We start from the raw sequence: 13,187 nt of genomic DNA, 5'->3' as shown, positions 1-13,187 counted from the left end.
CAGCAGCCATGCTGCGGGAAACTGCAAACTCAGCAAAGCGAACGGTGGTGTTTGCTGAGTGGACACGGTCTCTGCCACCAAGTCTTCCTGGGAAGGCCTCGGAGGGGTGAGGGAAGCCCACATGGGGAGCCTCTGCCGTTTCCAAAAAGGAGCCTGCAATTCCGGAGCCTGCATCTCCACTGGGATCTGTGCCTGTGTCTGCCCCCTGGGTCTTTCTTTGAGGTTTTTCATCCTCCTGTGATGATTGGTGGGGGGATGGAGATAAGTGTCCTGTCCCCGCCCCCAGAAGAGCAATCTCTCTACAAAACTCTTTCAGAAGCAGCCTGGGCGGATCTGACTGCTGAGGCATTGATGCCCAGGAGCTGTCTGTGCAGGCAGGTGGGTGGAGGAAGCTGGCGGCCCCTAAGACCCCAGCCCTGGTGATGCCCACTGTGGGGGCCTTAGGCAGGCCTGGGCTTACAGTCCGTCTCAGCTCAACTTGGACACATGCCGTCTTTTCTTCATCCTCCTCTTCTTGAAAGGCTTGTTTATTCAGCTGGAAAATAGACGTTTTTCAGCAGATTTTCTCTATTCAGAAATAGACTAAAGCTTCTGCTGGAGTCTGGCATTATCCCAGAGAATGGAGACCCACGGGCCTTCAGCAGTGCACCGCCCTCAGGGAAGTCATCCAGTTTGGGCATCCTGACTCGGTTCTCCCACAGTGTCCTTCTCATCTGCTGTAGCCGAGGTCAGGGAGAAGGCCCTGGGTGGTGTCTGGGCTGAGAGGGTCAATTGTGCCACCTGCTTCAGACGCCCCATGGGCTGGCGACTCTTCTGGTCTTTAGTGCTGACACCCACAGGCCTGGCTCACAGTGGGTGCTGGGTCAGGGCTGGTGGAGAACAATAGTGCTGAGCCAGGACCCGCCCATGTGTTAGAGAAAGGCAGCAGCTTGGAAACCTGTAGGTGGGTCTTCCATCCACTAAGTCACCAAGAACTAGGAGCCTGCAGCCAGTTGAGAGGATTCTTGAGGTGCTCTGCCCCCAGCTGGGGCCCTGAGCCCCCACGAGCCTTCCGCCTGGGGCATCTGATGACTCACGTGCACCACAGCACAGCAGCCCAGTGGGCTGGGAGTTGGGAGCTGGAAGATGAAAGCCACCCACTCTTATCTGCCTCCGAGGAGTCGCAATCAAGAGGGAGGATGCCCCCATAAGGTAAATAACCACAGGACGGGGCATGTGGGGCAAAAGGCAACTGCAAAGTGGAGACAAATCCCAGCGGGAGGCCTCTGGGGGGACCCTGAGCAGAGACGGAGCAGGATAGCGCTCCTCGAGGAGGACAGCTGAGGCCAGAGGGGACAGCATTCGGGACGAGGGCCAGACGTCTGGGGTGGCCAGGGCTGGGCCGGGGCAGGGTGGAAGTGAGTGGCCATGGGTGGGGACTGGGTCGCATCCCAGAGGGTCTCAAGCCCTCCGCAGGGATGGAGGCTTCTTCCTGGGAGCAGATCCCGACTCCTGGCCTTGGCTTCGTGTTCTGGGAATGAAGGCATCAGAACCCAAGACCAAGGAACCCTGGGCCCCGGCGGGCTGCTCAGCTGTGCCTGAGGGGGTGGGGTCTCGGGGACAGATGGGGCTGCCGCTTCTGCTGGGCGCTGAGGGCCAGCCTCCTGCAGCGAGGCAGTGGCCTTCTGCAACCTGTCCACATTGGGGGGCTGAGCCAGGGCCAGGTGTGCTGTGTACCATCTCACCTTTGCCCCATTTTTCCTAAGAAATGCAGATTCTGTGACCTTCAGAGGCAGCTGGAGAAAGAAAAGATGGAGGAGATCACGGCCCAGCAATTCCAGCCTGGGGCGGGCGCGGGCTCAATGATATCCTTCAGGTCCTAATCCCCGAGTGTGGCTGTGTGTGACCCGAGTCCCTTCTGCCTGCCAGGAGTGAGGCCACCTGAGGTCGCAGAAAGGACTGGGGAGGAGACAGGCGCAGGGTGATCCGGATCCCATATTTAATTGATGGTAAGGAGGCCTCCTCACTTCTCCCTGAGCCTGACAAACATGGCTAACCTCCTTTGGAGAAAGTTCTGTGAATAATGTGTCTGCCGCAGGCTGGCGAAGTACAGTGTTCTCCAGAAATCCAGTGGTCTGCACCATCAGTGTCCTGGGCTCGCTGCCTCTGGAGACTCCCACGCCCCCAGCCAAAGCCGGAACCCTCCCCTGAAGCCTCTGCCATGGCCTGTCCTGCCTTGGGGAGGTGGAGACCCTCGGCGTGCTGGTGTCCCACCTCACTGTGCCTCTCAGCTTCTTTGTTTCTGCCCAAAATACAGGCTCCTGAGTAGCCTCCTGTGGGTGTCCTGGGACTGTCACCTGCCCTCTTTCAGCCAGGTGGGCTCAAACGTCAGGGGCACCATCTCTGGTCCAGATTGGGGTCTCTCTCGGTTCATTTATCCAGGATCTTTTGGCAAAAAGAGAAAGACCAAGGATTATCCCCTTTCAGGAGAGCTCAGCCTGCTTTTTCGGGCTCTTCAAGGCCCATCCATTCATGCACGGAGAAATAACACGAATGCTGGTGTGGAAATGATGCCCGGATACCTTTCCAAAGGCTCCATAGCCCACTCTTCCAGTATCCATCCTGGTCATGCAGGCGCTGACCCACATGTTTCTGGATTAGGAAGGAAAGCAAAGGCCAGGAGGCGGAGGCTGACCCCTTTATCTTCTGATAAACCCGAGAGCAGAACAGCCTCAACAAGGACGATTACAGCAGGGAAATGGCATTCCTGGCCAGTGGACAAGCACCTCCTTTAACCTACAGCTCAGAGCCTCACTTTGACTTGCCTCCTGTGGGGTGCTGGTCAGTAGGGGCTGAATTCTGGGGTGCTAGGCATCCCTCCACCATGCAGGCCCCACAAAAGCAGCCGAGGAGGGAGAGTGCTAGGAAGCAGACAGCCACACAGACCACTGGGCTCCATCAGGCCTCTCACTGCAGGAAGCACAGGCCAGCAAGGCCAGAGTTAATTTCTCAGAATAATTGCTAATAATACAAATCAACCTTTCTGGGCACTGAGTACACACCAGGCCCTGTGCTAAGCGCTTCTAACCTAAGCGTCACCTCATTGCCTGCTAATACCCTCTCTAGGAAATAGGGACTACTATAAGTCCTGCCCACAGACATGAAAACCACAGCTGTGGGTTGACCCTCTCTGCGTCTGTATCTAATACTGCACCTGTTTTCTATGAAATCAGGACAATATGATTCATAGGGCAAAATGATTATTTGTTACACATGGAGAAAAACAAAAGCTCAAAGTATGTTTTCTGAAGGAGAAACAAAATCCAGACATTTTCCAAGCTTCAAGTGTGAATATACTTACATGGATGAAAGATTTAAAGAATAACAATAAAAAACCCTTAATGGTAAAAATTTGTTGACTCAGCATGTTTCAGATGTAGCCACGGTGAGCTGGCCTCTTTGGAGACAGCTTTGCTTGTTAAAGAGAAAAGGATGCAAAGGGCTTGCTTTTTATCTCAGTTGGTGAAGGTTGGAGCTGAATGTTTTGAACAAAAGTAATTGCCTATGTCTAAATGTAAAATCACTGAAACACTACTAAAAGACTGGCAAAGAAGTCCAGTGTTAAGAGAGAAAAAGTGGGAGGGGAAACAGGCAGAGAAATAAGGATGAGGGGCTTGGTGGTGTCCCTGGTCTGGCTATCACTGCAGGGACCTGAATGGGTCCACAGTGTCCTCCAGGGGTCTGGGCAGGGGACCAGCCATGCTCCGGACAAGCCCGAGCTGACCCACTGGAAGTGGGCGTTGTTCTATATCTTCCTTCACTGAAGACAGACTGGGGAGAGGTCAGGTGCCAGCCAGGTGGAAAGGAGGAAGGGATAAATACTGCTTTGTGCTGGCTGGCAAGCGTGCAGGGGGCCTCTCGCCAGACCCTCCCCTGACAGTAGCCCAGACAGGCAGTGCCCCTTTGCCTTGGAACACAGATGGATGAGGACAGGGAGGTCAGAGATGGTGAAGCATTTGCCCACCGCACCTGGCTGGCCAACCAGAGAGGCGCTGGGGGTTTGAGGGAGGAAGTGCTGTGTTCTTTCTTCTGCAGCCTGGGGCCCACCTGGGCCGTGCAGAGTCAGGCCACATAGCCACCCACCATGCCTGCATGCTTGGCCTGCCAGGGATGGGTTGTTTTGGGGTTTCTGGAGATACATGGGAGACTCTCGGGGTGCTGGAAAGTGAATTCTGAGCACACCCTGGGAGATTGTACTTCTGGAAGTACCTGGCTCTGGCTGCCAAAGAAAGGCAGCCATGGACAAAAATATTTGTCTCCCTCCCCATATAAACATGCCCCCTGCACCCTATACACACAAGCCAGGTGTGTTCAGAGGCATCTGAGGTCCCTGGGGAACAGACAGTGCCCTGGGAAAGGGGGTGACCCAGGAGGCTGCTGGGAGCTGGGGAGGGGCTGCTTCCCTGGGTCCCCTGGAGCAGGTCCTGGTGGCAAAGTCCAGCCCGACATGTAGGGCTCTGTGGGCAGTGCTGCCCTCAGACCCGAATCCAGTGCAGGCAGGGAGGCCCCAGGGTTTGGGGAGTTCCTGGGGGGATGAAGAATGGCACTGGGCTCCCTCCACATGAGGCTGCATGGAGAAGCTGCAGGGTCTGGGAGGAGCTCAGGATGGGGGCACAGGGTCCGGCTCTGACGCCCAGGCCTACTCCTGACTGTGTGGATGACTGCGGAGGTGATGTCTGCAGTTTACTCGTCTGTAAAGTGGGGCAATAAAATCTATCGCTATTTCCATACTCAAATGACCACGTCCTGACCTCACCTCTCCAGTGGGAGGCTTGGAATCTGCAGATGGGGTTTCCTTGAGTGAAGAAGAAGCTCCAGCAAAGCTAAGACAGAGAAGCTGAAGCCGTGGGTCCTCACTGGGGAGTTACAGCACTGACCCCATTCCCTGATGCTGGCAGAGTAACAGCAAGTGGCAATTTGTCATAAAAGAATTTAAAAAATCCATTATGTCTAAGAGTTAACAATGCTTCATAATTCATTTCAGTGCTTTTTTCTGTTCTTTTTTTTTTTTTTTTTTTTTTTGAGACAGGATCTCATTCTGTCACCCAGGCTGGAGTGCAGTGGCATGATCATGGCTCATTGCAGCCTCAAACTCCTGGGCTCAAGCCATCCTCCCACCTCAGCCTCCTGAGTAGCTGGAACTACAGTTATGCACCATCATGCTTGCCTAATTTCATTTATATTTTTTGTAGAGATGGGTTCTTGCTATATTGCCCAGGCTGATCCCAAACTCCTGGCCTCGGGTGATCCTCCTGTCTTGGCCTCCCAAAGTGCTGGAAATATAGGTGTGAGCCACTGCTCAATGCTTTCTTATATAAACACTGCAGAAGCCCCAAGTGCACACCTGTGGATTATACACCAAACTTTATTTTATCAAATAATTTTTTAAAAAGCAAAAGAAATTTTAAAGCCGCAGGAAGTCCCCTGATGGGCTTCCTCCTGGGGCTCCCTGCCTGGCTTGGACTGGGCAGGCCCAGATGCTGAGGGGTGGGACCAGCACAGGCACAGGGTCTGCCCGAGGACGCAACAGCACTCCACCCAGGCCAAGGACCGGTAAGAACGCTGGCGAGTCAGCAAGTCTGTTAAGGGATAATTTCAATTTCCTGTGTGCCAAACTCTAATCCTCTAATTTGCGTAATTCCAATTACGCATAGTGTCCTCTTGAAAATGAATAAAAAGTAAAGAGCTTATCCTGTGAGAATTAAGTCTATCTGGATTCCAATAAAGATGACAGACCCACAGATAGCTGGAGACACAAGGAACCTTCTCGAAAGCACGCTTTCTCAGACCCTAAAGCCATACTTGAATTCATTTAATCAACAACCAACAAGCCCAATGGCTAATTACCCATTTAAAGAAGTGAACCTTACAATAATAGCTGGGGCCAAATAAGACAGAATGGACTATATATAGCTAGACTTTTACTGTATACATTTCCTCCCTATAGAGAAAAATTATCCTTCTTGTCTTGAAAGAACAAAGCAAGGAAGCCCTTGAGAGCCTTAAAGTGATAACTCTTCGTTCCTGAATGGGGGTCACATAAAACCAAAGATGAAAGACAAAGGTTTCCTTACCTAATCTCAAATTTGAGAACAATGTACAATGTCTCACAATTCTTCATGAGTTTCAAAGATTACCAATAATTAATTTTTCCCATCCTTGTAGTAGCTGATTGTCATTTCAAATAATATATACCACTAATACCACCAATACCAAGATACCGGTTGAATCCTTTACTCATTAAAAATTGCCACCTAAGCAGTGACAAGATAATTGTGTTTGGGATAGTCTTTGGATCTTACCAAGACCAAAATATTATTACAGAGTAGACTATTTATGATCACGAAAGCGTGCCCTGAAGACAGCAAGGTTAACCTCCACAGACAAAAGTAAACTACAATTCACAGACACCAAGGACACTGCCCTCAATACTTTTGCAGTCTTGTTACTTTTTCCTTTAGAAACTGCCGTGGCTCTAATGGAAAGCACCATCGATTTATGTAGAGCAGTTCCCCGCTTATCTGTGCGGGATACGGTCCAAGAGCCCCTGAAGCCACAGATATACTATACTATGCTTTTTCCTATACATATGTACCTACGTAAAGTTTATTTTCCAAATTGGGCACTGTAAGAGATTAACAACAACAATAATAAAATAGAACAATTCTAACAATATGCTGTCATGGAAGTCATGTAAACGTGCTCTCTCTCTTCTCTCTCAAAGTATCTTGTACTCTACTCACCTATTTTAGACCAGTTACTATGCCGTTTTCTATACGTACTATGTATATATACTATGCTTTTTCCTATACGTACTATGTATATATACTATCTTTTTTCCTATACATACTATGTATATATACTATCCTTTTTCCTATACATACTATGTATATATACTATCCTTTTTCCTATATAATGTATATATACTATGCTTTTTCCTATACATGTATACCTACATAAAGTTTATTTTATAAATCAGGCACAGTAAGAGATTAACAACAATAATAAAATAGAACAATTCTAACAATATACTGTCATGGAAGTCACGTGAATGTGGTCTCTCTCTTCTCTCTCAAACTATCTTGTTCACTCTACTCATGTATTTTGGGCCACAGTTGACCGTGGGTAACTGAAACTGTGGAAGTGGAACCACGGACGGGGGCCACTGTAGCAAATGCAGATGGCGCTCTCTACTCCCTGGGACAGGTGGTCAGAGTCATTTTCATTGTCTTCATGATTGTCTTCACATTAATGAAGATGTTCAGCTGCCACAGCCTGTCAAAATTACTACAATTCCAAGGGTGACTTTGGAGCAGCGATGGCGGTTTCTTTCCAATCGACCGTCATCTCCTGGCCCTTGTTCACAGGACTCCGCTCTGGCATCACACCTGCCTCCAGCGCCCCTCCCAGGCCCCTGTGCCCGCCTGGGAAGCCCTGCTAGCTGTCTCCGCTGGCCATGATGGCTGGCCATCCACTGCGCTGTGTGCCTCCCTGTCTGCTTTTCTCTCTGAACTTGAACATGAGCTCCTGTGAGTCAGGGCCCTCTCATGGTCTTGCACTTTCTGGAGGGGCCTCTGGAGGTGCAGGGCAGAGTCCAGAGCAGCAGCACCAGTGAAACTGTGGGAGGGTGACCAGGAGGAGCACAGGGAGGTGTGTGCCTCCCTCTCACTGGGGGAGTCAGCACGGGGCAGGCCAGGCCCTGGGCCGTCGATTCCAAAGCTGCCAGGCAACTCCTGTTCTGGACCCGAGCTTCACAAAACGCCTGGACAATGCCCAGTGGGGCCTTGGGATTCCCCCTTCAGGGACAGGAAGGTTGTGAGAAGCACAGCTCCCACTTTCACAAGGCCTGGGGGCAGCCCTGGCCCTGCCTTGTTTCCTCACTGGGCATTGTCTCAGGTCCTGTCTGAGTGGTTCTCAGGGAGCGGGGTGCCAGGTGCACCTGGGGACTCAGTGCTGCCGACTCAGGAGGGGCCTGGGTGGTGCTGTGAGATTCTCCAGGGCTTCCGAACATGGTAAAGACACTTTCAATGTGATGATCAGGTCAAGACCACCTCTTCTACCTTGTGACTTTCATTTGACTTTATCTGGGCTGTGTCAGAAAATCAATTTGTCACGTCCTTCAAACAGGATCCATGAATAAACCAATACTTCCATTACCGCGTCCAGGGGAGACGCAGTGATGGGACAATAAACTATTGATGATCAATAATTGAATGCATACTCTAGGATCAGTCCTGAAAATTGCGGCCAACTACTGGAAATCAAAGCCTCGAACAGGAATGAAGACTCGCCATCAGAGTCAAAGAAGCTGACCCTCCAGCCAAAAGCAGCCTCACGGGAAGCACGTGGTAAGAGATACAGCAAGAAACTTAGAACTGCAAGATTATTTTTTCTGTGCCTTTTGGCCTGTCTTCCCTCCTTCATAGCAGGCACCTGTGGTCCCGTGACCTGCTGTGGTGAGACTCCGGGGCACAGTCTCACAGCAGGCGCTGTCTCTGACTGACTGGTGAGAAGAACAGGAGGTGGGAAATTTCATGACCACTCATTGGCTTGGGGGCATTCTATGCTTTGGAGGCCAAGGACAGTAGTTTCACCTTCTCACCAGGGCTCTGATTGTGCTAATGCTGGGTACAGACTGCATTTTCTGAGAGCTCATGTTCTGGGGAGCATGGCGGTGCCCCGAGGGCCTGGATGCTGAAGGCAACCTGAGGCTACACAGTTGTACTCAGAGTCCATTAAATCCCACCTGGCTCATTTCAGCGAATATCCCTGAACACGGGGAGGGGGGCGGTTTGCTCAGTGCTAAGGAGGCTCGCAGGAGGTCGGGGAGCACACCCCTGCCCCCAGGAGGTCACAGTCCCTTCAGAGGCCTGTGTGGCACCTGGAGAATGAATGCCCTCTGCCACTTCAGATGCAGGGTCTAGCCTGATGTGCAAAATTATCTCTTATTGAGTTCACCACCATCCCACCTGAAAAAAAGACACTCGGCCGGGCGCGGTGGCTCGCGTCTGTAGTCCCAGCACTTTGGGAGGCCAAGGCAGGTGGATCACGAGGTCAGGAGATCGAGACCATCCTGGCTAACACGGCGAAACTCCATCTCTGCTAAAAATACAAAAAAATTAGCCGGGTGTGGGGGCGGGCACCTGTAGTCCCAGCTACTCGGGAGGCTGAGGCAGAATGGCGTGAACCTGGGAGGCGGAGCTTGCAGTGAGCTGAGATTGCGCCACTGCACTCCAGCCTGGGCGACAGAGTGAGACTCCATCTCAAGAAAAAAAAAAAGAAAAAAAAAAGACACTGTACCCACAGGGCTGAGCTATGGCTGAACCACCCCTATCAAATCACACCGCTTCCTCTAAATTCCATCACCCACAATGGGGCCCCACGCTGGAAACCCACTGCCCGCTCAGGATGCAGCAGGATGGCAGTACTGTGAGCTCATCTGGGTTAGAACTTGTCTGAGGTGGGCTCTGGATTATCCCACCACTGGGACACCAGGAGGGCAGTGAGCAGAAGAGTAAGGACCAGCATTTCCCAGCAGGGCTGCCCAGAGAAACCAGAAGCTACCGGCCATTTCCTTAATGTCAAAACCGAGCTGTTTTTCTTTTCTTTTTAAAAAATATAAACCAAGAAGAGAATACGTCCAGGGTTATCTAGTTACTCTTGTACTAAAACCCAAATACTGAGCCACAGTAAGACTCAGCAGTTGTTTGTTTTTTTGTTGAAATATCCTTAAACAGGTTTCTGTTATTGGAAACCAAATAACAGCCATTCAGTGAAAAACTGATTATATTTGTAACCTGATCATATACCTGAACTCAGCGTCATAATATTAATCAGCAAATCAAAGTCAAGTAAAAAATGGATTTGTGTTAGTGCAGATGTACCACTTGAGACAGAAACAAAGTTAGAGCTGTTCAAATGGACAATGTGTATCTCATTTACATCCATATGTACAACATTGGGCTGCTTAAATTCTGATACTTTAATAAGAAGGTCTGCTGTGGAAAAGTGTGGGCTTATTAATTATTCTTGCTTTGAGCACAATTACTCTGCCTCCGATCTGACAATCACGCCACAGCCCTGTGTCCAGCGTGCATGTGCACGCACACACACACACACACACGTGCGCGCGTGCACACACACACACACACACACACAGCCTCCACCCTCTGGCAAAGCCTTTGAGGAGTCCAAGGAACACATGTCGACCAACCTGAGGGACTCTGGGCATTTCTCTGAGAACTTAATAACAATCACTGTACCGGGACCATTGCTCTGGGCTTGGGCAAAGCCAGGCCGTCCACCCCAACCATCCTCACTGCCCAGATGAGAGGGGCAGGGGTCCTCTGGGAGAGGCACCGTGGGTGCTGTGGGCCCAACACCTCTCGCAGGACCCTGTCTGGCACCCCCTCCCATCCCACTCACAGCCTGGCTTCAGGCTGAGCTCCCCGCCCAACAGAGGCCTGGGGAGAACCTTAATGCACATGGTGGATGCTCAGGGGGCAGCTGATGAACACGTGCTTAATGAATGAATGAATGAATGAATGGGCTGACATAGGACACACCACCAGAGAGCCCCGGAATGGCAAACCCGTGTTCAGGGTTCCCATTCCCTTTGTGCCAGCTCTGGCTACTCAAGGCAGATCCCACGAAGGACCCTGGACTCTGAGTATTTTAGAGAAACAAGAAAAGCCTAGAGCCATGTCCGGTCCTGACTGCTCCTTTCCCAGAGTTCTAGGCCTCCTGGTGGCTGAGGCCACGCTGGGATGAGAGGAGGGCAGTGACCCCGCAAAAACAGCATCGCGTGGAGATCTTCTGAGTGCCGGGCGTCAGCCTACACGATCCACCCGCGTTTTCTTGTCTTGTCCTCACAACCTTATGAGGCGGGAACTGCCATCTTCACTCCCCCAGCTGGGGAAACTGAGGCTCAGAAAGGCCAAGCAATGGGCCCAAGTCATGCAGTGAGCAAGGGGCAGGGCTGGGATTGGAAGTCGGGCCTCTCAGCTTCCCAAGTCCTGATGGAACCGCTGCACGATCCTGTCTGGGGCTGGGAGGGGAGAGGGGGCCCAGGGACCAGGGGATGCCCCAATGCCTGGGGTAAAATAATACACCCTTAGCTTATGACCTATTAGAGTCCTTGATTTCAATGTGGATGCACCCTCGGCTCCTGACCCACTGGAGTCCTTGATTTCAATGTGGTGTTTCCCTGGTGCAGTGTGCACATTAGTCATTTCTGTAGAAATGGGCTGAAACACTGTGTATCTGTGTGTCTATCTGTATGTGCTGTGTGAGTGTGTGTGTGTGTGTGAGAGAGAGAGAGACAGAGATGCAGAGAGTGTGAGAGATGGGGACTGGAGTGGCTTGGAGGGTTGGAGAGCCCAGGGCTCAGTACTCCCCACTAGGCTGAGAAGCCCCCATTTTCTGGCTGTCTTGGTTTTCAACTCTTGAGGTTTCCTGAGGGTGCTGATCTGGGAGAACTGGCCGGGAGCAGCTTTAGGCTTCAGCAGAGGAGAGTGAGGGTCCCTGGTCGCAGAGGAGATGGAGGCTGTGGGGAGGCGGCCTCTCCTCCCTCCGAGTTTCTCTCAGCCCCCCTCCTCTGGGAACAGCTGTTGGCGAGGGCCTCGGCCAACACCGCCTCCTGCTCTAGGAATAGCAGGAAACATCTGCATCGTCAAAGCCTCACGAATATAGATTTTGGCTGGGTCAGTAAGACCTATTTTGATTGGACCACAAGACAGGAAATTTAAGCGTCAGGATGACACAGATCTGCGAGATGATGGTAACGTGTGTGAGATGCAGTTGGAACTGCTGTGCAGATGGGTCCATCCAGCCCCTGGGGGTCTGGTGCCTGTGATGAGCACTGCTAGGAGCAGCATCCAGCAGCCGGGAGGGAGCCTCTGGCCCAGCTGGAGTCAAGAAGGAATGTGCCGTGCGATTTAGAGGTGAGGTTTCAGAGGATGCCGAGTTTCAGAAGTCACTCTCATGCCCCCCGCCCCAAAGCTCCTACCTCCCACGCCCCCAGCCCCAAAGCTCCTACCACCTCCGGAACAGGCACCCCTCTCAGTTGCTCTGGGAATTTCCACTCTCAGCCCGGGCTGCTGGGCTCTGCAGGGCAGGCACTGGATCTGTTGTGGGCGTGAGAAGCCCAGCGAGTTTGTGCCAGACCCTCCTGTGTCACAGCCCCTGTGGGCTCCTGCCGGGTACTTTATCCCTCACCTGTCCCTGTGTGTGATGCGAAGCATGCAGGATGCCCGAGTGGAGTCCGAGTGGAGCTCCGAGAAGGTCGTTTTGTGGAAGGACGCCCAGTGGATGTCTGAGCCAGGCTGGGGGAGGAGGCCTACCCACCTCCTGTACCACAGCCTCCAGCCTGACCCCTCTAACTGCCCCCTGCAGCTTTCAGAGTGAAAGCCTCTGCGCCTCCAAAAGCCTCGGTGCACAGAGAATTTTTAGGGCAGTGAAGCCCCTTGGATACTACATTGGCGGGTCCTGGTCACCGGAAATCTGTCCAAACCCACAGAATGTGGCCACCGAGGCTGAGAGTGGCATAGAGTATGGACTCTGGGTGACTGCGTTGTCCCAGAGTAGGTCATCCAATTACCAAATGTCCCATTCCATTTCAGGATGTTGTCGGTGGGGAAGGCTGTGCCTGTGTGGGGAGGGCATATGGAAATTCTGTACCTTCCACTCCATTTTGCTGTGATCCTGAAACTCCTCTAAAAAATGTCTGTGAGAAAGAAAAAAAATTCTCACCCTGTCCTACTGCCCTTGGAGTTGAACCCAGACTCCTCTTTGAGGCCAGCTCGGGCAGCAGCCCTCACAATGTGCACACTGGCCCATCCAGCAAGCGTGCCAGGCCTCTTACCTCCAATTTCTATAGCTCTCAGCTCTTCTTAATGTTCTTAATGCCCGCCCCACTTGCCCCGCCAAACTCTTTTGATCCATTCCCCTCTGAGCCATGCCAACCTCTCCAGGGACCAGCACCTCTCAGCCACCTGGGTGCTGTTCCCAGGCCACCGAACTGCCCTCTTTTCACTGCCATCAGCCTGGCCCACGCTGCTCACTGGATGCTGGGCTGTCTCCTCCCAGCATTCTGACCCCTCAGTTCTGCAGTCTGACTCGCATACAGCAGGTGCTCAATGCGTGTGCAT

The 13,187-nt window shown here is 52.0% G+C and overlaps 1 protein-coding gene across 16 annotated transcripts in view, besides 1 other annotated feature; it reads right to left on the bottom strand.

Annotated features, from left to right (window-relative positions):
• Window positions 1-13,187, bottom strand: part of PTPRE (protein tyrosine phosphatase receptor type E) — a 178,753-nt gene that overhangs the window by 55,636 nt on the left and 109,930 nt on the right. The window lies entirely within an intron of this gene.
• Window positions 7,017-7,517: an enhancer, noted in NCBI's record as "H3K4me1 hESC enhancer chr10:129820967-129821467 (GRCh37/hg19 assembly coordinates)". NCBI's record gives its function as "activates a minimal SCP1, AML or CMV promoter by ChIP-STARR-seq in naive H9 embryonic stem cells {active_cell/tissue: H9 hESC(naive)}" and the evidence as "EXISTENCE:reporter gene assay evidence [ECO:0000049][PMID:30033119]".

The sequence above is a fragment of the Homo sapiens genome, chromosome 10 (genome assembly GCF_000001405.40).
Source record: "Homo sapiens chromosome 10, GRCh38.p14 Primary Assembly".
NCBI lineage: Eukaryota > Metazoa > Chordata > Mammalia > Primates > Hominidae > Homo > Homo sapiens.
The sequence above is the reverse complement of the archived record's forward strand: the minus strand, read 5'-3'. Positions and strand labels throughout refer to the sequence as shown.